This window comes from Homo sapiens, chromosome 21 (assembly GCF_000001405.40).
Source record: "Homo sapiens chromosome 21, GRCh38.p14 Primary Assembly".
NCBI classification, from domain to species: domain Eukaryota; kingdom Metazoa; phylum Chordata; class Mammalia; order Primates; family Hominidae; genus Homo; species Homo sapiens.
In genome coordinates, this window is record NC_000021.9 from 44,597,269 (window position 1) to 44,621,778 (window position 24,510).

At 48.7% G+C, this 24,510-nt stretch overlaps 3 protein-coding genes across 4 annotated transcripts in view, besides 8 other annotated features; 2 read left to right on the top strand and 1 right to left on the bottom strand.

Moving 5' to 3' along the window:
• The window catches only part of TSPEAR (thrombospondin type laminin G domain and EAR repeats), a 213,680-nt gene that overhangs the window by 99,376 nt on the left and 89,794 nt on the right, over window positions 1-24,510 (bottom strand). The window lies entirely within an intron of this gene.
• Window positions 1,696-2,452: an enhancer, noted in NCBI's record as "H3K27ac hESC enhancer chr21:46018864-46019624 (GRCh37/hg19 assembly coordinates)". NCBI's record gives its function as "activates a minimal SCP1, AML or CMV promoter by ChIP-STARR-seq in naive H9 embryonic stem cells {active_cell/tissue: H9 hESC(naive)}" and the evidence as "EXISTENCE:reporter gene assay evidence [ECO:0000049][PMID:30033119]".
• Window positions 3,213-3,962: an enhancer, noted in NCBI's record as "H3K27ac-H3K4me1 hESC enhancer chr21:46020385-46021145 (GRCh37/hg19 assembly coordinates)". NCBI's record gives its function as "activates a minimal SCP1, AML or CMV promoter by ChIP-STARR-seq in primed H9 embryonic stem cells {active_cell/tissue: H9 hESC(primed)}" and the evidence as "EXISTENCE:reporter gene assay evidence [ECO:0000049][PMID:30033119]".
• On the top strand, window positions 3,329-4,906 carry KRTAP10-7 (keratin associated protein 10-7). The gene has a single exon (NM_198689.3). The coding sequence runs from the start codon at window positions 3,354-3,356 to the stop codon at window positions 4,464-4,466; it is 1,113 nt and encodes a 370-aa protein (NP_941962.1). The 5' UTR covers window positions 3,329-3,353; the 3' UTR covers window positions 4,467-4,906.
• Window positions 3,963-4,722: an enhancer, noted in NCBI's record as "H3K27ac-H3K4me1 hESC enhancer chr21:46021146-46021905 (GRCh37/hg19 assembly coordinates)". NCBI's record gives its function as "activates a minimal SCP1, AML or CMV promoter by ChIP-STARR-seq in primed H9 embryonic stem cells {active_cell/tissue: H9 hESC(primed)}" and the evidence as "EXISTENCE:reporter gene assay evidence [ECO:0000049][PMID:30033119]".
• Window positions 4,821-5,677: an enhancer, noted in NCBI's record as "H3K4me1 hESC enhancer chr21:46022006-46022862 (GRCh37/hg19 assembly coordinates)". NCBI's record gives its function as "activates a minimal SCP1, AML or CMV promoter by ChIP-STARR-seq in naive H9 embryonic stem cells {active_cell/tissue: H9 hESC(naive)}" and the evidence as "EXISTENCE:reporter gene assay evidence [ECO:0000049][PMID:30033119]".
• Window positions 5,678-6,532: an enhancer, noted in NCBI's record as "H3K4me1 hESC enhancer chr21:46022863-46023717 (GRCh37/hg19 assembly coordinates)". NCBI's record gives its function as "activates a minimal SCP1, AML or CMV promoter by ChIP-STARR-seq in naive H9 embryonic stem cells {active_cell/tissue: H9 hESC(naive)}" and the evidence as "EXISTENCE:reporter gene assay evidence [ECO:0000049][PMID:30033119]".
• Window positions 14,800-15,449: an enhancer, noted in NCBI's record as "H3K4me1 hESC enhancer chr21:46031985-46032634 (GRCh37/hg19 assembly coordinates)". NCBI's record gives its function as "activates a minimal SCP1, AML or CMV promoter by ChIP-STARR-seq in naive H9 embryonic stem cells {active_cell/tissue: H9 hESC(naive)}" and the evidence as "EXISTENCE:reporter gene assay evidence [ECO:0000049][PMID:30033119]".
• On the top strand, window positions 14,811-15,686 carry KRTAP10-8 (keratin associated protein 10-8). Its single transcript, NM_198695.2, has one exon. The coding sequence runs from the start codon at window positions 14,833-14,835 to the stop codon at window positions 15,610-15,612; it is 780 nt and encodes a 259-aa protein (NP_941968.2). The 5' UTR covers window positions 14,811-14,832; the 3' UTR covers window positions 15,613-15,686.
• Window positions 15,450-16,098: an enhancer, noted in NCBI's record as "H3K4me1 hESC enhancer chr21:46032635-46033283 (GRCh37/hg19 assembly coordinates)". NCBI's record gives its function as "activates a minimal SCP1, AML or CMV promoter by ChIP-STARR-seq in naive H9 embryonic stem cells {active_cell/tissue: H9 hESC(naive)}" and the evidence as "EXISTENCE:reporter gene assay evidence [ECO:0000049][PMID:30033119]".
• Window positions 19,730-20,476: an enhancer, noted in NCBI's record as "H3K4me1 hESC enhancer chr21:46036915-46037661 (GRCh37/hg19 assembly coordinates)". NCBI's record gives its function as "activates a minimal SCP1, AML or CMV promoter by ChIP-STARR-seq in naive H9 embryonic stem cells {active_cell/tissue: H9 hESC(naive)}" and the evidence as "EXISTENCE:reporter gene assay evidence [ECO:0000049][PMID:30033119]".

Here is a 24,510-nt window from a genome sequence, read left to right on the forward strand (position 1 = left end):
TCTTTTAGCTTTATACATTTCTTTCTTCATCTCTATTGCTCTAAAATCTACTTTTTCTGATATTCATAAGTCACACTAGCATTTTAGTTAGTGTTTGTGTGGTGTATTTTCTTCCATCTTGTTACTTTCAAGCTTTCTGTGCTCTTTTTCTTTTTCTTTCTTTCTTTTCTTTTTTTTTTTTTTGATGGAGTCTCACTCTTGTCGCCCAGGCTGGAGGGCAGTGGTGCGATCTCGGCTCACTGCAACTTCCACCTCCTGGGTTCAAGCGATTCTCCTGCCTCAGCCTCCCAAGTAGCTGAGATTACAGGTGCCCACCACCATGCCCGGCTAATTTTGTATTTTTAGTAGAGACAGGGCTTTACCACGTTGGCCAGGCTGGTCTCAAACTCCTGACCTCAGGTGATCTGCCTGCCCCAGCCTCCCACAGTGCTGGGATTACAGGTGCGAGCCACAGCACATGGCCTCTATGCTCTTGTATTCAGGCTCTGTATCTTGTAAGCAGCATGTAGTTAGGTTTTCTACTTTTTATTCAGACCAACAATATATTTTAATTGGAATATCTGATACTTTATTGACTGATGATTTAGTTTATATCTATCTGCCATCTGACTGTACAATTTCTATTTGTCCCAATTTTTTAACGTTTCTTTTAAAAATCACTTCCTGTCTATTTTGGATTAATCAAGTATTTTTTATTATTTATTTTCCCTCTTCTGTTCTATTCATTATTCGTGAGATAAGGCAAGGCTTCTCTTCAAACAGGCTGCTCAACCTTTTGTTCTTTAATTCCTAGTACCCCCGCCCCCTCTCTTTCTTCTCCTTTTCTTCTTTCTGACTTTACTACATGCCCAGGCATGCCGCAACATCACTAGCATTATCAGCACCAGCTCGCATTCCGTTCTGTATTTAGGAAAAGACTGGCTCTCTAGTTTCCCGTAGATGACCCCTTCCTCCTCTCCCGTCTCTCCCATTATGCATCCATTTTATCTAAGAAAGTTTAAATGTTTAGCCAATCGGGTCTAGTTTAAATTGTGCGGCGCAATCCCAGCCAATGGGGAAAGGACACAGGGGCAGGATCACGTTAGGAATAAAAACTTCTACTCTCCTTTGTTCTGTGTGCTCTCGTGGCAACCAGCCATATGGGAGACACCCTCCTGCACAGACATACATTTGCTTTGCTGAGAAATCCTTTGTCTCAGTGCTCGTTTTTCCTTACGACTCTGAGCCTTATTTCTAACATTATTGATTATACATTGATTATACATAGTTTTTACTATCTCTTCCGTGGTCACTTTAGAGATTATAGCACACATTCTTAGATTATTCAAGTGTAACATATGTCAGCACTTCCGCCGCTTCCAAAACAATGCTGAAACCTTAGAAAACTTTCACTCCATTTATCCTTCTCACCTTTTATTGTTAATGTCATCATGCATTACTTTTCTACTTCTAGTTTAGACCCCACAAGAGATTATAAATATAATAATATTACCCTTTCAGATCCTCCTGGTTCCTTCCTGCATTTTTATCCTTCCGTCATCCTGCCTAAAAAAATCCCCTTTCATAGTTACTGTAGAGTAGGTCTGCTCGTGTTCAGTTTGCTCAGTTGTTATCCAGAATTGTTTTGTTTCATATTTCACCTTTGAACAATGTTCTTCCTGGTCTAGAATTCTAGGTTTGCAGTGATTTTCTTTCAGCTCTTTAAAGATGTCATTCTATTACCTTTAGTTTCTTCAACAGCTCTTTTAGGAGAGCTTTAAAGGAATCATTTTTAAAACATTTTGTTCAGCTTTTCAAGTTGTTCTCAGCAGGAGTATATGTCTGACATAGCTACTTTGTCCCATATGGAAGCAGAGGCCCCCATTTTCTCTCTCTCTCTCTCTCTCTCTCTCTCTCTCTCTCTCCTTCCATCCCATAGGACCAGATCCTGTACCTCTGGAGGGACCAGGCCATGCTCAAATTTATATTATTTTTATAGTTCAAAATATACAGAAAGACAATTCATCCCACCGTGTAACTGAATTTCTAGCCCTCTGAGGCCTTTTGTACTTTTCCTAAATCCCCTAGGAGTTAAGAGGCCTGGACTGGGAAACACAGATAGAGACACAGGACACCCTGAGCCTCTGAGACTTGCCTGGGCATCAAACCCCACCAGAAGGGCCCCTGGAGCCCTCTCCCCTGGGTAGGGGCCACTTCTCAGGGCCGCATGCATGCTGGGCTATGGCTGGTCATCACTGACATCACCAGGCACCAAGCAGCCCACCTCCCTCCCTGGTGGGGTCCACAGTCAGGGTTACTACCCCTTCACTTTCACATTCTCAGCACCTGGTGCAATTTCCAGCATGTGGGAGGACTCACTGCATCATGAATAAATGAATGCTTGAGAAGTAAAAGTATCGGATACAATTGGAAACATTTAGCAGAAACAACCAAAAAGATGTGGTGGCCAATTGGATATTATTTGCAGAAGAAATGGAGACTTAGATCAGATGTCTAGCTGGGGTGACCAAGGACTTAGCTGGCAATCAAGAAAACACACTGCAAGCGAAAGCAGTGCTTGCTGCTTTTCACACGGCAGTGCTGTTGAGAGTGGCTGTGCTTTTTGCGGAGGAGGTGTTCTGGGTTAGACTTACAGGTTTGCAGTGCTTGGGATAAAACCAAATGGAAATGGGGGCCCCAAACAGGGATCTGGGGCCTCCCTAAGTGCCCAGATGGAAGAGGGGGTGCACGGCCCCCCAGGAACTACTGTGAACCTGACGGGAAATGGCTCACACCACTGTCCACCCTTTCCCGTTTGCCACTTGCTCTAAAGCCCTTGGGGGGACTTTATGCACCAGAGAGAGTGTGGGGAGTCACTTCTAGGAATGTTCCACCCTCATGCCATCATTGACAGGGGCTTCTCTAGCCTGGCATTCCAGAAGCCACAGCCACCCAGACAAGCAGAGTCCCCTGGCGATGGCCCACAGGCGCTGGGATTAGGATGGATGGATCTCTCCTGCAGCCAGCACAGGCCCCTGGGACACTCTATTTGCAGACATTACACCCTGTCTACTTCAATATTATGCTCTGGAGCCAAAGGTAGGTGAGGGTGCGTCAACGGAACCAAATATAGACTCAGGACTTTACAAACTGAACGGCATCTCATAGGACTAAACATGAAACTCGCACTAATAAGCGTTCTCTAGGTTTTAAACACAAACAAGGAAGGGGCAGGAGTTGTTGACACTCCAGCTGGGACAACAGACCAGGGAGACATATAAAAGCCAACATCCCTGAGCACCTAACACACGGACTCACTCACTCATTCACTCACTCACCCACTCACTCCCATCTCCTCCAGTTCAATCCCCAGCATGGCTGCGTCCACTATGTCTGTCTGCTCCAGCGACCTGAGCTACGGCAGCCGCGTCTGCCTTCCTGGTTCCTGTGACTCTTGCTCCGACTCCTGGCAGGTGGACGACTGCCCAGAGAGCTGCTGCGAGCCCCCCTGCTGCGCCCCGGCCCCCTGCCTGAGCCTGGTCTGCACCCCAGTGAGCTATGTGTCCAGCCCCTGCTGCCGAGTGACCTGTGAGCCCAGCCCCTGCCAATCAGGCTGCACCAGCTCCTGCACGCCCTCGTGCTGCCAGCAGTCTAGCTGCCAGCTGGCTTGCTGTGCCTCCTCCCCCTGCCAGCAGGCCTGCTGCGTGCCCGTCTGCTGCAAGACTGTCTGCTGCAAGCCTGTGTACTGTGTGCCTGTCTGCAGTGGGGATTCTTCATGCTGCCAGCAGTCTAGCTGCCAGTCAGCTTGCTGCACCTCCTCCCCCTGCCAGCAGGCCTGCTGTGTGCCCATCTGCTGCAAGCCTGTCTGCTCTGGGATTTCCTCTTCGTGCTGCCAGCAGTCTAGCTGTGTGAGCTGTGTGTCCAGTCCCTGCTGCCAGGCGGTCTGTGAGCCCAGCCCCTGCCAATCAGGCTGCATCAGCTCCTGCACGCCCTCGTGCTGCCAGCAGTCTAGCTGCAAGCCGGCTTGCTGCACCTCCTCCCCTTGCCAGCAGGCCTGCTGTGTGCCTGTCTGCTGCAAGCCCGTCTGCTGTGTGCCCACCTGCTCTGATGATTCCGGTTCATGCTGCCAGCCAGCTTGCTGCACCTCCTCCCAAAGCCAGCAGGGCTGCTGCGTGCCCGTCTGCTGTAAGCCTGTGTGCTGTGTGCCCGTCTGCTCTGGGGCTTCCACTTCATGCTGCCAGCAGTCTAGCTGCCAGCCGGCTTGCTGCACCACCTCCTGCTGCAGACCCTCCTCCTCCGTGTCCCTCCTCTGCCGCCCCGTGTGCAGGCCCGCCTGCTGCGTGCCCGTCCCCTCCTGCTGCGCCCCCACCTCCTCCTGCCAGGCCAGCTGCTGCCGCCCAGCCTCCTGTGTGTCTCTCCTTTGCCGCCCCGCATGCTCCCGCCCGGCCTGCTGTGGCCCCACCTCAACCCAGAAGTCCAGCTGCTGAGTGATCTCCTTAAGATCATCCAAAGCCTGAGTGCTCACTGCCACCTGCACCCCTGGATTCTTTACCCTTGACGGCTCTCCACATCCCGCTCCTAAGCCCTGCAGTGGACGTCAGTGGTCAGCTGGCCATCCAGTGTGCGCTTCTCCTCCTAGAAGCAGCTCAGCTGTTTCTCCAAGTCTTGACTTTCCCCCAATTACCCAGCCCTGCTTCCCCAGCAACAGGTGGGCAGTGACCCCAGCAAGGCCAGCGGGTGCTCCCAGGCCATAGCCCGGTGTGGGGAGAAATGAGGGTAGACAGGTACCAACTGGGTTTCTCGTCACTGTCCCAGCTCAGTGGCGAGCCCTGCTCCTCCCCTGCTGTGGGCCTGGGCCTCTTTCTCTGTCTTCCCTGACCACGGGAGCAGGTCAGACCCTTCTAATAAACTCCTTTCCTAAAAAGTACAACTGGAATTCATTCTTGTTGTTCACAACCAAAGACCCCTGCCTGATGCCCCCCACCCGCGGGTGGTCCTGGGCTGCTCCCACGCCACGAGGTCCCTGTCCTTCCCAGGCGTCCTGGCAGCCCTGCACCAGCCTCACCACACGGATGTCCGAGGGGTAGGCAGGACTGAGGGATGGGAGAGGTGAGGGATCCAACAGCAGCGCCTGCCCTGGGTGGGGCTGCTTTGGGGCCTCCCCAGAAACTGGGTTGTGTCCAGCCCCTGGCTCCAGAAAGGAAACCCCATGGCCGTGTGCAGAATGGGTCCACACGGTGGGCGGGGACGGCCATCCTGAGGCCCGCTGGCCGGGCTGGCCCTTGGCTGGCGTCTGGGAACTGGGATTTCCGAGGGGCTCCCCCCGGCCCCGCCTCACTGGGCCTGAGCTGTTTGTACCATGTGGTTTAGGCCGAACACCCACATCCCTGCTGGGAGTCTGGAATTCTGGCGTAGCCCAGGCAGAAGCTGCTCACGTGACCAGTCCCCGGGTACATCACCGGGCAGGGCATCCCCAACATCGCACACGCAGCGTCCCAGCTGCTTGCAGAGGAGTGAGGCGCGTCCTGCGTGACCCCCACCCCAGGAGAGGCCTCCAAAGCTGAGCCTGGTGCCCCTGGACTCGGCCCCAGGAACCTTTCCCTTGGTTGATTTTGCTCAGTGTCCTCCCTGTGGGAAATCACAGCTGTGAATACCACAACCTGTGTGGCCTGTGTCCTCCTGGAGAATCGCCGTCTTGGGGACCCTGACACAGACCCCAAGCTGCCCTTCCCAAGCAATGACAATGCTGTCCTAGGACAGTGCTGGGTGCATTTCTGGTAGTGCTTCCTTTGACTCCTGCTCCAGAGGGGGTGGAGACAGAGAAGGAGGCTGGGTGAGGCCAGGCCATCGTAGGTTTCATGAGGAGCAGAGCCGACCTGCGCCTGCAACGAGCTGTCCCTCCCCTGTGGTGGCCACAGAGGCTGTGGCCTGAAACTCTGGCGTGGGGCTGGAGCACCAGCTGGCAAGGAATAAGCCCCCACATGTCCCACCTGGCACTCCTCTGCCCCTACCCCGGCCCCTGTGCAGAAGAAATGAGCCAGGCTTCTCTCTGGCACCAGGGCTACACCCTAAGTCAGCATCCCAGGCTTTGCGTCACTGGCTCCCCTCTGGTTCTCCAGGAGGCACCAAGGGGACCCTGTGGTGAGTCCCCCAACTACAGGCACCTGAATCCCACAGACGGCAAGATGGAGGGGCCTTGCTCAGAGAAGCACGTCCTCCTCTGCGGATCCCAGACTCGGCTCCTCCCCTAGGCATGGCCCCAGCAAGCATCCAGGCATGTGAGCCTCTGGGGAAACACGCCCCCCACGCCCCGGGTGTGAACTTCAGGGGAGGTGTGCTGTGGGGCAGAAACATCAAGTTCCCTTCCAAGGGCAACAGGTGGAACTTCAGAACCTCCTGCAAGAGGAAGGGCGTGCCAGGGTGGCTGAGCAGAGAGAAGCAGCCTCCTCCAAGGGGCCATTCTCAGCCGCACCACAGAAGCTGACGGTGGCTGAAACTGCCCTTTGTCACCTGGACATTCACCATTTGCCCTGGTCAACAATGCCTACCGCCATCCCTGGTGAAAGAACCAATATCTCACAAAAAATGCAAAAGGCACAAATCATTAGAGAAAATACTGACAATCTTGAATGCAGCAAAATGCACACAAAAGCATAAGCACACAATCAAAGTTTCCACCAATCCCATCCCAGAGAAGCCACCTGTGGGGCATCACGGGGAGACTGCGGGCTCACTGTCTCCCTCCTGGGCACGTGGGCTGGCAGGTTCCAGCCACCTGCAGTTAGTTAGGGCCACATGATGAGTTTCTATTGGTTAAACGTGCATGGAGAGATGTCTGCCACTTCCACGCCACAGGTTGTGGGAGCCCTGCTGCCTCTCTTCCTTGCCGGGCTATCTTGGAGGCTCACGTGCCAGAGAGTGGGTCCACAAGGTAGGGGCGCAGCATGCTTGGATGGCAATGTGAGGAGTGGGGAAGGCCTTGTGGGCTTAAGCCATTGACATGTTGACTTCTGTTGGTTTCTGAACCAGCATTGATGACCTTCACCCACAGTATGTAACAAAAGATTCAAATTCAGAATTTATAAAGAAAACATAAAAAGAAACGAATAAAAGAGATGGAAATACGCAATTATAGGATAAGATGTCCAATGGCCAAAAATCACAGGATAAGATAGCCAATCTCACCTACCATCGAGACACCATGCACAAAAATTAACTAGGGGTGAACCCTAGACTTACATGTCAAAGATAAGATAATGAGATCTCTATATAAGATCACATCATCAGCAGAGACAGTCTCACTTCTTTCTTTTCTATTCAGTACCTTTTATTTCTTTTTCTTGCCTAATTGCTCTGGCTAGAACTTCCAGCACCACGTTAAATAGAAGTGACAAGAGTGGGCATCCTTGCCTTGTTTTTGATCTTAGAGAAAGAGCTTTCAGCTTTTCACCACTGAGTATGGCATCAGCTGTGGGCTTGTTGCATATGGCCTTTATCGTGATGAGGTGCGTCTCTTCTATGTCTATTTTCTTGAGAGTTTTAATCATGAATGAATGCTGAATTTGTTCAAATGGTCTTTTGCATCTATTGGGGTGATCATGTGTTTTTTGTCTCTAATGTTAGTGTGATGTATCACATTTATTGATTTATATATGTTGAACCATTCTTGCATCCCTGGGATAAATCCCACTGGATCATAGTGAAGGATCTTTTTAATGTGCTGTTGAATTCAGTTTGCTAGTCTTTTTTTGAGGATTTTTGCATCTATATTCGTCAAGGACGTTGGCCTGTAGTTTTCTTTTCTTGTAAAGACTCTACCTGTTAGTCTTCAAACTATTAGGACTGATAAACAAATTTAATAAAGTTGCAAGTTAAAAAATCAACATACAAAAATTAATAGCATTTCTATATACTAACAATGAACAATGATCCAAAAAAGAGATTAAGAAAACAATACCATTTACAATAGCATGTAGAAGAGTTTAGAAAGATATTTAACCAAGGAGGTGAAAGATCTGTACACTGAAAACTACAAAACATTGATGAAAGAAGTTGAAGACACAAATAAATGGAACAATGTCCCATATTCACGGATTACAAGAATTAATATTGTTAAAATGTCCATACTACCTAAAGCTATCTACAGATTCAATGCAATCTCTATCAATTTCAATATCATTTTTACAAATACATAGAAAAGAACAATCCCAAAATTCATATGAAACCATAAAAGACTCTGAATAGCCAACACAGTTTTGAGTAGGAAGAACAAAGCTGGAGGCATCACACTCCCTAATTTCAAAATACTTTAAAGCTATTGTAATCCAAACACCATGGGACTGACATAAAAATAAACATATCAACCAATGGAATGGGATAGAAATCCCAGAAACAAACCCAAGTGTTTGTTGTCAATTTATTTCTGACAAAGGTGCCAAGAACAAATGATGGGAAAAGGACAGACTCTTCAATAATCAGTGTTGGGAAAACTCAATATCCATGTGCAGAAAACTAAAATTGAACCCTCATCTTACATCATATGCAAAAATCAACTCAAAATGCATGGAAGACCTCGGCATAAGACCTGAAATGTGATACTGCTAGAAGAAAGCATAGTGGAAAATCTCCATTACATTGGTCCAGGCAATTATTCCTTGAATAGGACCCCAAAAGCACACCTAACAAAATAAAACATAGACAAATGAGATTGCATCAAACGAAAAAGCTGTACAGCCAAGGAGACAATCAACAGGATGAAGAAACAACCCATGGATTGGGAAAAAATATCTGCAAACCATATATTTGATGAGGGACTACTACTCACAATAAGGAACTCAAACAACTCAGTAGCAAGAAAATAAATAACCCAATCTAAAAATGGACAAACAGCCTGGCAACAGAGCAAGACCCTGGCTCAAAAAAAAAAAAAAAAAAAACTACATAAATAAATAAAAATGGGCAAAAGACCTAAACAGACATTTCTCAAAAGAAGCCATTTAAATGGACAGCAGGTATATTTTTAAATGCTCAACATCACTAGTCATCAGGAAAATGCACATTGAAGATGCAATGAGACATCACCTCACACTTGTCAGAATGGTTCTTATCAAAAAGATGAAAGCGAACAAGTGTTAGGGAGGATGTAGAAAAGAGGGAGTCTTGTACATTGTTGGTGGGAATCTAAATTAGTACAACCACTACGGGAAACAGTATAGCGGTTCCTCAAAAAACTAAAAATAGAACTTGCCTATGATCCACAAATCCCACTTCTGGTTTTATATCTAAAATAACTGAAATCATTCTTTTGGGGAGAGGTCTGCACTCCTATGTTCATTTCAGTCTTATTCACAATAGCCTAGGTATGGAATCGATCTCAGTTCATCAATTGATGAATGGATAAAGAAAGTGTGGCATATATACACAATGGAATACTATTCGGCCATGAAAAGGAGAAAAATTCTGTCATTTGTGACAACTTGAATGGACCTGGAGGACATTATGCTAAGCGAAATAAGCCAGGCACAGAAAGACAAATGGCATGATTTGTGTCTAGAATCTAAAACTGTCAAACTTAGAAACAGAGAGCAGAAAGGTGGTTACCAGAGGCCGGGGGCTGCCAGAGGAGAGGAATGGGGAAGGGAGATGTTGATCAAAGGAAACAACCTTTCCATCACACTGGAGGAAAAAGCTTTAGTGACCTACTGCATTGCATGGTGACACATAAAAATAATGTGTTGCATACTTCAAAACTGGTAAAAGAATATACTTTTAATTTACCAGAAAAATGGTAAGTTGGTGAGATGATGGTTATGTTAAGTAACTTGATTTCATCTTTTTTGTTTTGTTTTGTTTTTTAGACACAGTCTTGCTCTGTTGCCAGACTGGAGTGCAGTGGCACAATAGCTCACTGCAACCTCCGCCTCCCGGGTTCAAGCAATTCTTGTGCCTCAGCCTCCCAAGTAGCTGGGACTACAGGTGCGCGCCACTACACCCAACTAATTTTTGTATTTTTAGTAAAGACAGGGTTTCACCATGTTGGCCAGGATGGTCTTGATCTCCTGACCTCATCATCCACCTGCCTTGGCCTCCCAAAGTGCTGGGATTACAGGGCTTGATTTAATCTTTCTACAATGCATGCACAGGTCAAAACGTCACATTATAGATCAAAACATCACATTATACCTAGTAAATACACACAATTATTATTTGTCAGTTTAAAAATTAGTAAATGAACAATGAATGAAATAAAAATAATGAAGCTCTAGAAGCACATATAGGGGAATGTCTTCACGACGTTGTGGTAGGCAAAGACTTCGGGAACGGGGTAAAAATGCCACACATAAGAGAGTAAATTAGTAAATCGGATTTTACTACAATTAAGAGCGTCTCTTCATCAAATGATACTATTAATACCACACATCCATAAACATGACTCAGATTGAAATAGATGACCAATACCGAGTGTCAGCAAATGTGTGCAGGAAATGGAACTCTCCAACATTTGCTGGGGTGGGAATGTGAAATGGAAAAATCCCTCTGCAAAACAGTTTGGCAGTGTCATAAACATGACACACACACCCCCTTCACATGCCCCACACACTCCACCTCCTGTGTGTTTACCCAAGAGAAGTGAAATCATATCACAAAGACTTGCTCACAAATGTTTAAAGATGCTTTTGCCACACAAGTCATGTGTCCATCGACACATGGGTCAATTGTACTATAGAATTTGATTTACATGAAATTCCAGGAAAGACAAACCTATTTGAGACACAGAGGAGATCAGTCGTTTCCTGGGGCAGAGTCAGGAGGGGTGGGGATTGATCATGAAAAGTACACCTGGGAACTCGGAGATGATGGAAAATCCAGATCTTGCTTGTGGTAGTGGTTACATGGGTGTATATTTTCTCAAAACTCATGAAAAGGTAACTTTAAATAGGTACCTTTTACAGCATGTAATCATACTTCAATAAAGCTGACTTTTTAAAAACTTCATTTTTAAACCCCAGACTTGGATGGGTTATTTGCAATTCCCATACTCAGTGGTACACTAAAGCCAGCATGCCCTGGCTCATGAGAGCTGACATGCACCCCTCTCTTCCCATCTCTGTGTTAAGTGACATTGTCTTGGTAGCTTGGATTTAGCTGGGTTGGGAGCATTCACACGTGGACGTTGGCAAATGCAACCAATTGGGACTTTTGTTTTTGTTTTCGTTACAAAAACAAAAGCCAGTTATTGAACGTTCACTGACACACTGCATGTATACAACTCATATTCAGAATACATAATAAATTTCTGCAAATCAATAAGAAACACAAGTAGCCATATTTTAGAAAGCAAGCAAATGTCTTGAACAGGCACCTCACAAGAAAAGATATCCAAGGTTCAATGAGTGGCTTTACTCATCCGGGATATGCACATTAGTGCAACAGTGCAATATTCCTAAACACTTTCCAAAATAAACAAATTTTAAAAGACTGATCAACCTCATTTTGTAAAGATACAGAATAAATGGAATTATAAAATCAACTAGTGAGGATGTAAATTTCTTTAGAAAGTTGTTGGTATATGCTAAGCCAACATATGCCTATCTATGACCAAGCAATTCCACTTTTGGGAGCACAATGAAGAGAAATTAGTAAAAATATCAGTGAAAAAGTTTACAAGAATTTTTCTAGGAGCACTATTAACAGCAGCCCAAATCTGGAAACAATCTAAATCTCTAACACTGTGAAAGAGAATGGACAAATAACACGTTGTAGAATTTAATGCAATGGGGCAGCAAAAAAAGAGTGAAGTACTGATGCATGCAGCAACATGGTGCTTCTCACAGACATTGTGCTGAACAAATTGAACCATAAAACAAAAGAGTTCCATAGAACACGCAAAGCTAACCAATGAGGAGAGAAGGTAGAACAGCAACTAATACTTAGGGAGGAGGGACTAACAAAGAGATAGCATAAGGGATCATTTAGGACTCTGGTAATGTTCCACATCTTCCCCAAAATAGTCTAAGGGGAAATATTTCCACCCAGAAATTATATCCAGCTAAGCTATCAATCAAATGGAAGAGCAGAATAAAGGCATTTTTAGTCATGCTATGGCTCAAAAATATATCTTCCTTGTACCCATTTTCAGAAAGTTACTGGAGGATGTGCTCCACCAAAACAAGGATATAAATCCAGAAAGAAAAAGACAAGGCATCCAGGAAGTAATGGATCCAACATCAGAGAGAGATGAATGAAAATCCAAAGACAAGAGTGAAGGGAGATCCCAGGAAACCTGTGTACCAGGCTGAGGGAGCAGCCAATAGAGACTGGTCCACACATAAGACAGCTCTGAGAGAGATGTTTCCAAAAAATAAATGAAGCTAATAGATTGTTATATTTGAACCTCTTGAGTGGAGCATGGGGATGAATGAGTCAGAGTTTGGGGAGGAGCAATTGTTAACTCCAAGAGGGGAAAAACATAAACAAAAACAAAACATGTACAGATAAGGAAATTTAATCTGGTTCCACTATTCAGACTTGGCTATGAACAATATTTACTTTATTATAATATACATTCTGAACACTGATGTAACCAAATATTGATATTTTACTTCCTTTGCCTTCTGAGGATGGGAAGGGGGAACTTTTCACGGGCCTGGTGATAAACTAGAGAAAGTACTTTCCTCCACAATAGGAAATCAGATCATACCTGAAATTGAAAATGCAAGAAATAACAGAGCATGTATATTGTTTAATAATTCTGAGACAAACAGGAGAACTAAGAAGAGCATCTGGGATGGGCCTTGGGAGGGATGCATGCCAGAGAGAGGGGGGTGTTAAAGGCATTCAGTTTTATAATGAAAGCAGAGCATAAAAGTTTGAAAAATTTGTAGCCTGACTATGCAATAGAAAAGAAAAACCCATTTTCTAGGGAGAAATTCAAGCCGGATGCAGAAATTTGCATAAGTAGCAAGGAGCCTATTGTTAATCCCCAAGACCATGGGGAAAATATCTCCAGGCCATGTCAGAGACCTTCATGGCAGCCCCTCCCATCAGAGGCCTGGAGGCCTGGGAGGAAAAAGTGGTTTCGTGGGTCCAGGGTCCCCATGCTGTATGCAGCCTGGGTGAAAGGAGCCAATGTACAGCTCAGACTGTGGCTTCAGAGGGTGGAAGCCCCAAGCCTTGGCAGCTTCCATGTTGCGTTGAGCCTGCAGGTGCACAGAAGTCAAGAATTGAAGTTTGGGAACCTCCGCCTAGATTTCAGAAGATATATGGAAACGCATGGATGCCCAGGCAGAAGTTTGCTGCAGGGGTGGGGCCCTCATGGAGAACCTCTGCTACGGCAGTGCAGAAGGGAAATGTAGGGCCAGGGCCCCCACACAGAGTCCCTACTGGGGCACTGCCTAGTGGAGCTGTGATAAGAGGGCCACCATCCTCCAGACCCCAGAATGGTAGATCTATTGACACCTTGCACCATGTGCCTGGAAAAGCTGCTGACACTCAACACCAGCCCATGAAAGCAGCCAGGAGGGAGGCTGTACCCTGCAAAGCCACAGGGGTGGAGCTGTCCGAGACCATGGGAACCCACCTCTTGCATCATTATGACCTGGATGTGAGACCTGGAGTCAAACGAGATCATTTTGGAGCTTTAAAATTTGACTCCCCTGCTGGATTTTGGACTTGCATGGGCCCTGTAAAATCCCTTTGTTTTGGCCAATTTCTGCCATTTGGAATGGCTGTATTTACCCAATACCTGTACCCCTATTTTATCTAGGAAGAAACTAGCTTGTTTTTGATTTTACAGGCTCATAGGTGGAAGAGACTTGTCTTGTCTCAGATGAAACTTTGGACTGTGGACTTTTGGGTTAATGCTGAAATGAGTTAAGACTTTGGGGGACTGTTGGGAAGGCATGACTGGTTTTGAAATGTGAAGACATAAGATTTGGAAGGGCCAGGGACAGAATGATATGGTTTGGCTGTGTCCTTACCCAAATCTCGACTTGAATTTCATCTCCCAGCATTCCTACATGTTGTGGGAGGAACCCAGGGGGAGATAATTGAATCATGGGGGCCGGTCTTTTCCTGTGCTATTCTAGTGGTAGTGAATAAGTCTCACAAGATCTGATGGGTTTATCAGGGGCTTCTGCTTTTGCTTCTTCCTCATTTTCTCTTGCTGTCACCATGTAAGAAGTGCCTGTCAGCTCCCACCAAGATTCTGCGGCCTCCCCAGCCATGTGGAACTGTAAGTCCAATTAAAGCCCTTTTTCCTCTCAGTCTTGGGTATGTCTCTATCAGCAGTGTGAAAATGGACTAATACAGGGGCATCGCACCATAGTTTGCAGATGGAACAGGTAGGGGTGGCAGGGTGGGGAGCCAGGGGGCATTCCTAGCCGAGACACCCATTGTTCAATGGAGCAGAACTCTGGGACAGGTGGAGAACATCTGCTGGTAAAAAAACACCCCACCCCTGGTACCAAATACCCCAATAGCAAAGACATACAGGCAAAGACAGGAGGAAAGTGGGGCTGGGTTTTCCAGACTTGCCAACTCACGATCTGTTCAACTCCCAGCTCCACCAGCAGACACGCAGCATCACTGTGTGTGGTTGCAGGGCACAGACACCTGCAAGTGGTCAGCATCACCCAACCACATGCAGCAGTCCTGGGACCACAGTAACATCCCACAGCAAGTAAACTAATTAGGGTTGCCTGGAGGCAAAGTCTCAGCCACAACAAGGAAAGGGAAGGCTTGTGAGACTCCTGTGAGGAAAATACCCAGGGAGGGTATAAAACCTCAGCAGCCAGGGCACACAAACCCACACACCTCACACCAGCACTCACACCACCCAGTCCAGCACCCACCATGGCTGACGCCTGCTGCACCAGGACGTATGTGATTGCTGCATCCACCATGTCTGTCTGCTCCAGTGACGTGGGCCATGTCAGCCGAGTCTCCTCCCCCAGCACCTGCACTGGCTCCTCCTGGCAGGTGGACAATTGCCAGGAAAGCTGCTGCGAGCCCCGCTCCTGTGCCTCCAGCTGCTGTACCCCTAGCTGCTGTGCCCCAGCCCCCTGCCTGGCCCTGGTCTGTGCCCCAGTGAGCTGTGAGCCCAGCCCCTGCCAATCAGGCTGCACCGACTCCTGCACACCTTCATGCTGCCAGCAGTCTAGCTGCCAGCCGGCTTGCTGCACCTCCTCCCCCTGCCAACAGGCCTGCTGTGTGCCTGTGTGCTGCAAGTCCAACTGCTGCAAGCCCGTGTGCTGCGTGTCCATCTGCTCTGGAGCTTCCTCCCCATGCTGCCAGCAGTCTAGCTGCCAGTCAGCTTGCTGCACCTTCTCCCCATGCCAACAGGCCTGCTGTGTGCCCATCTGCTGCAAGCCCATCTGCTGTGTGCCTGTCTGCTCTGGGGCTTCCTCTCTGTGCTGCCAGAAGTCTAGCTGCCAGCCGGCTTGCTGCACCACCTCCTGCTGCAGACCCTCCTCCTCCGTGTCCCTCCTCTGCCGCCCTGTGTGCCGGCCTGCCTGCTGTGTGCCTGTCCCCTCCTGTTGTGTCCCTGCCTCCTCCTGCCAGCCCAGCTGCTGCCACCCGGCCTCCTGCCTGTCCTTCCTCTGCCGCCCCGCGTGCTCCCGCCTGGCCTGCTGAGGCCTCTGCTCAGGCCAGGAGTCCAGCTGCTGATGGGCACGTCCCCCAGGGCCAGCCGGCTCCGGTCCTGTCCTGGGTTAAGTGGCTGCCCCTACCTGGGATGGGGTCTCCATGTCTCCCCTGTGCTGAGGTGACCTCTCCCTCCTTACTCCCAGGAGCCTCCATCCTCACTGCTCCCCAGCTCTTGCCTTCCAGCAGGTGCCCACCTGCCTGCTGGGTCCCCTGTCCTCCCTCCCAGCTTCTCTGCTCTGGGTCACTTGGCCTCGACTTGAACCTCTCAGCACCTCCTCCTACTCCCCAATAAACTCTCCTTGGTCACCTGATTCTCTTTTCCTGTTGTTCTCCTGGGAGGACACACGGTTTTGAGCTGACATTGGTCTCCTCCAGCCATGACCGTTTCTAGGAGTGAGTTACTTAACCTAGAAGTCACAAGGGACAGTGGCCTAACTCCTCCAGGGGGTCACCAGGTGGGACTCACGGTCACTCCCAGGAAGGCTCAGTCCCGGCTCAGCCCCTGTGACCGGGTCTTCCTGAGCCTGGTCATTCGCTGTAGTGCCCTGGGCTGTGGGGCTCTCCAGGCCCCAGGACCAACCCACCCACTGTCCCACCTGGGAGAGCCCACCCTACAGAGTCACCTGCCGGGAAGCTGGCCTGGGTTCCGGGCACTGCAGCCTCCAGGCCTGGTCACCCTCCCTGTGTGCCGCCCGCCCGAGGGTTCTGCTCGCTTAGCAGCAATGCGAGGGGAGAGGGAGGGGCTGCTGCACCTGCGCAGGAGACAAGGGACTCGATGGGAACAAAAGCATCATGGACTGGGTGGAGGGACACACAGGATTCCCCCAGGATCTTGATGGAGACAAAAGCATCATGGGGTGGGTGGAGGGATGGGATGGGGGGATGCTTGCTGCCGACTGGGACATTCCCCAAGGCCCGCCGCCCCTGCCCCTGAAATGTGTGTCCTTCACGTCGTTTAGGTGCGCGACTTATGATTTTCAAGGCTTGTCCCTAATCTCTCCCAGGCCAGGCCTGGCCAGGTTCTTCAAGGCCCTGTGGCTCTGCCGCCCCGACCGGGGTCAGGGGTCCACACGGCTCCAGCTCAGGCCTCTCCTCCTCCCACCCTGCCCAGCGGCATAGGGACTGCCCCTGCTCTGCTGGGCTTGCCCATCCTGCCGTAGGTCCCTCACCTGATGACGCCATGAGCTCCTGCTCTGGTGTCTGTCGGGGTGTCTGGTGTCTGTCTCTGGGGACCTCAGCTCCCCCATCTTGCTCTGTCCACAGCATCAAGCCCCCCGCCCACTGCTTTGACCATTCACGATCTGTGACGCCAGCGTCACTCTCCCCCTCTACACCCATTCAAGCACAGCACACGGTCTGAGCTGGGGATGGCCGTCCCCACTGACGTCAGGCAGCCCTAAGTTGGCCTGTGCCGTGCACTTTGCATCACCAGCATGGGGACAGCGCCCAGAGACACGACCAGTAGTCACTGTGGCTGGAGGGAGCCCGGCTCCACAAGAGGCACCGTCCCCAGGGGGCTGTCAGGGTGGGCTCCCTTGCAGACAGGGAGTCCAAGAAACCTCTGCCATTCGTGAGTGACCAATCCCAGGGCCCAGGCGAGGGTGGAACAGAGTCCCTGGTCTGCCCTTCTCTCCTCCCAGTTCCAGGCTCGGTTCCTGGCAGGGCCGTGTGGCCGGGCTCCGGAACGTTCCTACTGGCCCCTCTCCCCTCTGACGGGGCCTGCCTGGGGGTGTTGGGCTGGGGGGACCATCACCAGCAGACAGATGAATGCATGACAGACTTCTCCAATGAGACACGCAGAGCAAGAGTTCAAGAAGACTCTGATGTGCTTGACTCCATAAGCAGACAGTAACCTCTCTATGCCACAAGACGACAGCAGAAAACCAGTGAAAAAGGAAGCCACGGTGTGTGAGAAGACACTCGACCGAGAAGATTTCAATGAGACAAAAGCATAAACTCCCAGGAGGAAATAGGCATGGACAGGCTACTCCCACCCAGCGGCCCAAATGGCCTTGGAACATGAGACATCGGCACCCCTGGAAGGCAGGCACCTGCCGACAGGAACCCCAGGCACCTCACCCCACCTGTCCTGGAAGAAAAAGCTGGACACACCCATCGCTCACCGGACGTGGCAGGCAGGAGCTCCAGCTGGCTGTGGAAATGGGGGATTGGCACCACTGCTTTGGGAAGAGGCGGGGCCGTATCCTACCATGTGAGAGGCCCTCCTGGACTCCGCCATGGGCAGTGCTGAAAAATCTCCGGCGCATGTACGTAAGCGGCACTGTTTGTTACCATGAAAAATTAGAAACAACCTAAATATCCATCCACGAGGGAATGGAGGCGAATGGAGCCAGCGCCGCACCACGGGGAGGCCCTGCACGAGGGCCGTGCGCTCACCCGACCCGCACACACGCAGGAGCGCGAGTGCCCAGGCTGCGGAAGAGAGTCCAGGCCGCACAGGTGCCAAGCGAGGCAGCGCTCTCTGGCCTGGGGACACGCTGTAGCAGTTTGTGTAAATAAGTGGATGGGATCCCACCTCTCAGCGGATTTTCCAGAGAAATAGCTGGGGGATTAAAGACATTTTTACCATGGAATTAATGACAGCGGGGATCTCACCACCCAGCTTAACCAGATGTCATTAATTCCATAACCAAAGGTTTTTTTTTTTTTTTTAAATTTATTCTGTTTTTTTGGAACCATTTGAAATTCAGTGCTGTAGCCACATGGCGGCACCTCCCCCGGGTCTCTCTGCAGGTGCCTCCTGGGAGTGAGGGCTTTCTCCCGCCTGCCCACAGCGAGTGCAGCTGAAGATGGCCAACTTCTATATATATATAGTTATCAAAAGAAGCAGAACATCATGCAACAGTCGTATCCAAATTTCCCAAAAAGCTCCCCAAATTGGAATCAGATAGGTCTGTGCACTGCCCTGGTGACCCTGAGGTTCTCGTCTCATTTAACCCAGGAGCGTCCTCCCGGGACCAGACCCTGAGCATTCTGGACACTGCTGGGAGGTCTTCATCAAGGAAAACACGCCCATGAGACAACTACTTCAGGCGGGGCCGCCAGGGACGCCAAAGCCACTGTCAGGAGGTGCTTGAGCAACAGGGTGTCCCCACAGTGCCACATCCCCCAGCGGAGGCCACACAGAGAAGACCACCCCATCGGCACAGACAGAGGTCGGCAGCACCTGGGCAGAGTGCAGCGTGTCGGCGGGCACCTCCCAGCGGGGCTTCCTATGTGTCACTGCACACATGCTTAGGCTCTCAGCCCGAGGCCACATCTGTTCGATGCAGGCAAAGGCAGCTGCCCCAGATCCCTGCCAGGGTCACCTCTGCTCTAACAACATGACAGCAGGGAACAAACCCCAGGGGAGGTGGACGCTCTCACGGTGCCCTTTTGTCTCTAAAGCGGGGAGAGATCTTACAATTCTTCTTTTTCTCTGCCAGGATGTTGCCTTGGGGGTGGGCACCTCCCTTCTCCACCCCACACCACCTTCCACACAACCACAGACACAAGGCTGGGGCACTGGCCCAAATGTCACAGGTGTGCAGCCACAGGGCTCTTACCTTTCACAGCCTGTCAGCCCCCGACCCTGGTTCCCCAGTCCCTCACCATGCTGCCTGGCCCTGCCTCCTCCTCCTCCCTGCCAGGTGCCTTCCAGAGCTTCACAGCCTCCTTCTCCACCTCCCACAACTCCAGTCCCTCTTCTCAGATCAGTGGGGCAAGCCTGGCTTTGTTTACCTGGAACCCGAGACCCTGCCCTGGTCAGCACCCAATTCGAGAGCTCTGCTCAGCAGTGAGAATGAGACACCGTGACAATGCGGCTGCGCACCGGACACCTGGCTCAGCGCAGGCAGCGCACGGACAGAGTCTGCGGTGTGACCACACCAAGCAGCCCTAAGGCAGCACGTGCCCGCACAAGCCTCAGCCTCTGCTCCGGTCACGCCTGCCCACTTGGGTGTATTTTTTGTCTGACTTTTGCTTCTGGGGCCGAACAACCCAGCGAATTCAACACAGCCCCAAGGCTGGGCTAAAAGTTCCTGGGAGGAACACGTGCCACAGCCTAGACACCCACCAGGAAAAGCAACCAGGAAAGGAGGGTGCAGTGGGGAACCCTGCTAGAAAACACACATGGGGGGTCTCTAAAACCCCAAGGGCCCCAAGCACCTCACTCACTCACCCACTCACTCACCTCACTCACCCACTCATGCCTCCCCCAGCTCACCTCCTCCACACCCCCAGCATGGCCACGTCCACCATGTTCATCTCCTCTAGCAGTTGCACTGACTCCTGGCAGGTGGCAGAGGCCCCAGCTGTGCTGGGAGGTGGGACATGGGGGGACACTTGGGCTCCAGCTGTCCCAGCGCTCAGGGAGTTCTACTCAGGGACAGCTTGGGCATCCTGGCCTCCTGTGCACGCTCACAGATGCTCAGGGGCGCCCTCTGCTCCAGCCCCAGGCTTGCCGCTGGGATGCAGAACAGAGAACAGACACACGGCCTCTGGAATTCCCTGTGCTGGGCTGGGTGGGCGGAGGGCCCCAATGGCAGAGGAAGTCCAGGACAGCGTGGGGACACATGCAGACCAGAGGGTGAGAGAAACACATGGACACACAGGTCCAGTTGTAGCCAGATGTGGTTTCAAACAGGATTGAGCAACAGATTCCTAGAAATACAACTGCAGGCAAGGGATGCTGGCAAGGTGTGGCCGTGACCAGGTTGCCTGCAAGAGGCCCTGAGTCTTTACTTCTTAAGAGCTATACAATCACAATGCTGGGGGCACACGTTATTCTTTCTTTGCCAATTTAATAAAGAAAAATATCTTATGGTTTTCTTCAGCAAGCTGCGCAGTGTTCCAAAGCGTGAACACGCTGCACTTGATGTCTGCAACACCAGGTGGATGGCACTGAATGTCTCTCTAGTTGTTCTTTATTACAAACGACACTTCTGTGTGTGTTTCCACTATATACCTTTCCACACTCAGATATGTGTTTGCCTAAATTCCTAAAAGTGGCACTTCTAAGCTGGAGTGTTAGCAGATTTCAAATTCATAAAGATATTTAGAAATACCCTCAAAAAGAGTGTCCAAACTGTGCCTGCTAAGACCGATGACAGAGGAAATGGTGGAGCGGGGAACTGTAAGGGCCTGTCCCTCCACAGAACATCAGAAACTGGCAAAACAAACAGATATGGTTGGACTTTTTGTCCCCATCCAAATCTCATCTTGAACTGTCATCCCCAGGTGTTGAGGGAGAGACCTGGTGGGAAGTGATTGGATCATGGAGTTGGTTTCCCCCATGCTGTTGTAGTGATAGTGAGTTCTCACCAGATCTGACAGTTTTATAAAGCAGTTTTCCCTGCTCTCACTTGCTTCTCTCTCCTGCCACCATGTGAAGAAGGTCCTTGCTTCCCCATTGCCTTCCACCATGACTGTAAGTTTCCTGAGGCCTCCCCAGCCATGTGAAACTGAGTCAATCAAAGTTCTTTCCTTTATTAATTACTCAGTCTTGGATAGTATCTTTATAGCAGTGTGAAAAAGGACTAATACACAAACAAACAAACACTACCTGGTAAAATCAACTTTATCCAAACTCTGGAAAATGGTCAAAGCTTTGCAGCAAGCAAGGGAACACATAATCAAGTAAAAGCAACAGAGCCCAATAGGAGAACCTTGTGGATTTTAACTTCCCCTTGCCCCATCCCCCATCCCCAGCTGGGTGACAGTCAGGAAGGCAGCAGCCGGAGTTCCTGGTGTGGGGTGCTGCTGCCAGGGAAGCAGAGTGGACCTTGTTTGTAAGGCAGTGCAGTTGCCTGTTTCGACCGTCTGGTGGCTCCCTGAAGGACTAACACACAGGGCTTGCCTTATTTCACCAACTCAGACTATCTCAAGGTAGAGGAGCAGCTATATGGAGGGTGTGTGTTACAACGTTTAAAGGTAAATGAACAAGTCACTGACACCTAAGTCAAAAATTTTCAGTTGGGAAAACACTGGACACCCCTAAAAAGCCTGGGAGGAAAAGCTAGGAGATGACATGCTTTGAGGAATAAGGGAGTTAGAAGGTTCCACATATTTTTAGAGTCCAGAAAGCCCCCGTGCATGTCTATGATGGGGCACTGGCTCAGAAAAGAGCTGAGAAGCTCTCATTGCTCACCTCTGGCTGAACCTCAGGCTCTGAGCAAGCAGGAAGTGAAGGTGCAAGCAGGAAGTGAAGGTGCAAGCAGGAAGTGAAGGGGAAGGCAGAGTCACAAACTCCCCAGCCGAGTGCTGAAGGCGTGGACCAACATACAGAGCCCAGCTACAAACCCTGAAGAAAAATAAGTTTTTGATTCCAGGGGTTTAAGGAACTCTCTGTCAAATTACTATCTCAGCACTAAGCTAATAGAACAGTGAGCACACATGGTGAAGAAACTATTTTTAAAAACTGACAGAAACAAACAAAAACAACCACAATCCACAACAATCAGCAACAGCAAACTGCGCAGAGGGAGGAGAGCCTGATACCCAGAAATATCCCTTTGTAATTGTCACTGTGCAGTTTTCACCAGAGGCATGTGCCATGCAAAGCAGCAAGAAATATAAGCTACTCATGAGGAGGAAAAGCAATTAATGGAAAATCTTCCTGAGGAAGCCCAGAATTGGACTTATTAGACAAAGCCTTTCAATCAACTCTCTTAAACATGTTTAAAAAACTAAATACAATCACAGACAATGAATTAAGATAAACCAGGAGAATGATACCTCACCAAATAGAGAATATCAATAAAGAGATAGGAGGAAATTTAAAAAGAAATTAAATAGAAGTTCTGGAATTGGAAAGTACAGTCACTGAAATAAATAACTCATGATATGGTTTCAACAGCAGATTTTAGCAGCTATAAGAATTAGTGAACAAGAAGATAGATCCATTGAAGTATTCTTGTCTGAGGAGTAGATGAGAAAATGAGGAGCAGATGAGAGAATGAAGAAAAATAAACAAATCTGAAAAGACCTGTGGGACACCATCAAGCATACCAACACACTTAGCAGGATTTCCAGTTGGAGGGGAGACAGTGGGAGCAGAAAAAATAGTTGAAGAAATAATGGCCCAAACTTCCAGAATTGAGGAAACACATCAATCTAACTCAGAGGGATTCACATAAAAACACAGTATAATCAAACTCTCAAAAGTCAAAACAAAGAGAGAATGTAAAAAGCAGTGGGACGGAAGACTAACAGCGGATTTCTCATCAGAAACCATGGAGGCCAGAACGCGTTGGGATGACATATTTAACATGCTGGGTTTGGGCACAGGGGTGGGGAGCACCCAACAACCAAAAAGACGTCTTCATCTGGCAAAGTGATCCTTCAAAAGTGAAGAAGTAACACATTTTGAGGTAAATAAAACCTGAGAGCTCGTTGCTGAAAGATGTCCCTTACAAGAAATGCTATTTCAGGCTGAAATACAAAGGCAGTCGATAGTAAGCTAAAGCAATATGAATGAAGAAAGGTCAACAGCAAAGGTAGCCATGTTGGTAGTTTGTATGTTTATAGGAGTTTTTCCATTACATCTTGGTTATCTAATTTGTTGGGTACAAATATTCATAGTATTCCTTTATAATTATTTTTATTAACGTAAGGTCAGTAGTGATGTTCCCATTTTCATTTACGATTTTAGTTATTTGAATCTGTCTTCCTTTAATCAGTCTAGACAGAGGTTTGTCAAATCTGTTGCTCTTCTCAAAGAACCAACTTTTTTGTTCCTTGATTCGATTGATTTTTAAAATTTCTATTCCATTTATCTGCACTCTAGTCTTTATTTTCTACCTTCTGCTAAATTTGGATTCACTTTGCTCTTTTTCTAGTTCCTTAAGGTGTAAAGTTAAATTAATGATTTGAGATGTTTCTATTTTTTTATGTAAGCATTCCTAGCTATCAATTTCCCTCTATGTACTGCCTTCATTGCATCTCGTTAAGTTTTGGGTTACTGTGATTTCTTTCTCATTCCTTTCCAAGAGTTTTCTATCTTCTCTTTGAATTCTCCTTTGACCAATTGGTTGTTTGAAAGTGTGCTATTAGGTTACACATATTTGTGAATTCCAGCTTTTCTTTTGTTACTGATTTCTAGTTTCCTTCCATTGTAATCAGAGAAGATACTCTGTATGATTCAAATCAATTTAGATTATTGAGGCTAGTTTTGTGGCCTAAGGTAAAATCTAATCTGAAGAATGTCCCATGTGAACTTGAGGAGAGTGAGTTTTCTGCTGTAGTTGGGTTGTGTGTTTTTGCACATATCTGTTAGACCCAGTAGATTTATGTCATTTTTCAAGTCCTCTATTTCCTTATTGAATAAAAATTTAGTTCTGTTATTTTATACTTTTTTAAATTAGAGAGAATGGCTTATTGAAGTCTCAAACTCTTACTGTAGAACTGGAACTGTCTATTTCTTTCTTCAAATCTGTCCATTTTTGTTTCATATACATTGGTGATCTGATGATAAACATGTATATATTTATAATTGATATATCTTATTGATGGATGGACATTAATCACTACATAATGTCCTGTGGGCCCAGCCCCCGCCGATCAGTCTGCTCCAGCTTCTGTATGACAGTGGCTTCCTCATCAGGCTCCTTTCCTGGCCTATGGCTGGCCCCTCCCCAGTAGGGCCATCATGTCCCCAGGTAACATCCACGTGGCCCCCTGGGCAGCACATATCATTCCTCAGTTGCTCTCACTAGAAGCCAATACTTCAGGCCCCACTTCCTAAGGTCTGGAAAATTATGGCAGCCTAATAAAACAAGCTGATAAATTTAAGACTGGTATTATTTCTCTCCCAGTTGTTTGAGAATATTCAGCAGGGAAAGTATTTGGGTCTGTAGTTGGCTCTGTAGGAAAGCTTTTGATGTTAGA

Bases quoted from the DNA above. Each gene is read 5' to 3' on its own strand.
- KRTAP10-7 (NM_198689.3), top strand. From the start codon at position 3,354: ATGGCTGCGTCCACTATGTCTGTCTGCTCCAGCGACCTGAGCTACGGC.
- KRTAP10-8 (NM_198695.2), top strand. From the start codon at position 14,833: ATGGCTGACGCCTGCTGCACCAGGACGTATGTGATTGCTGCATCCACC.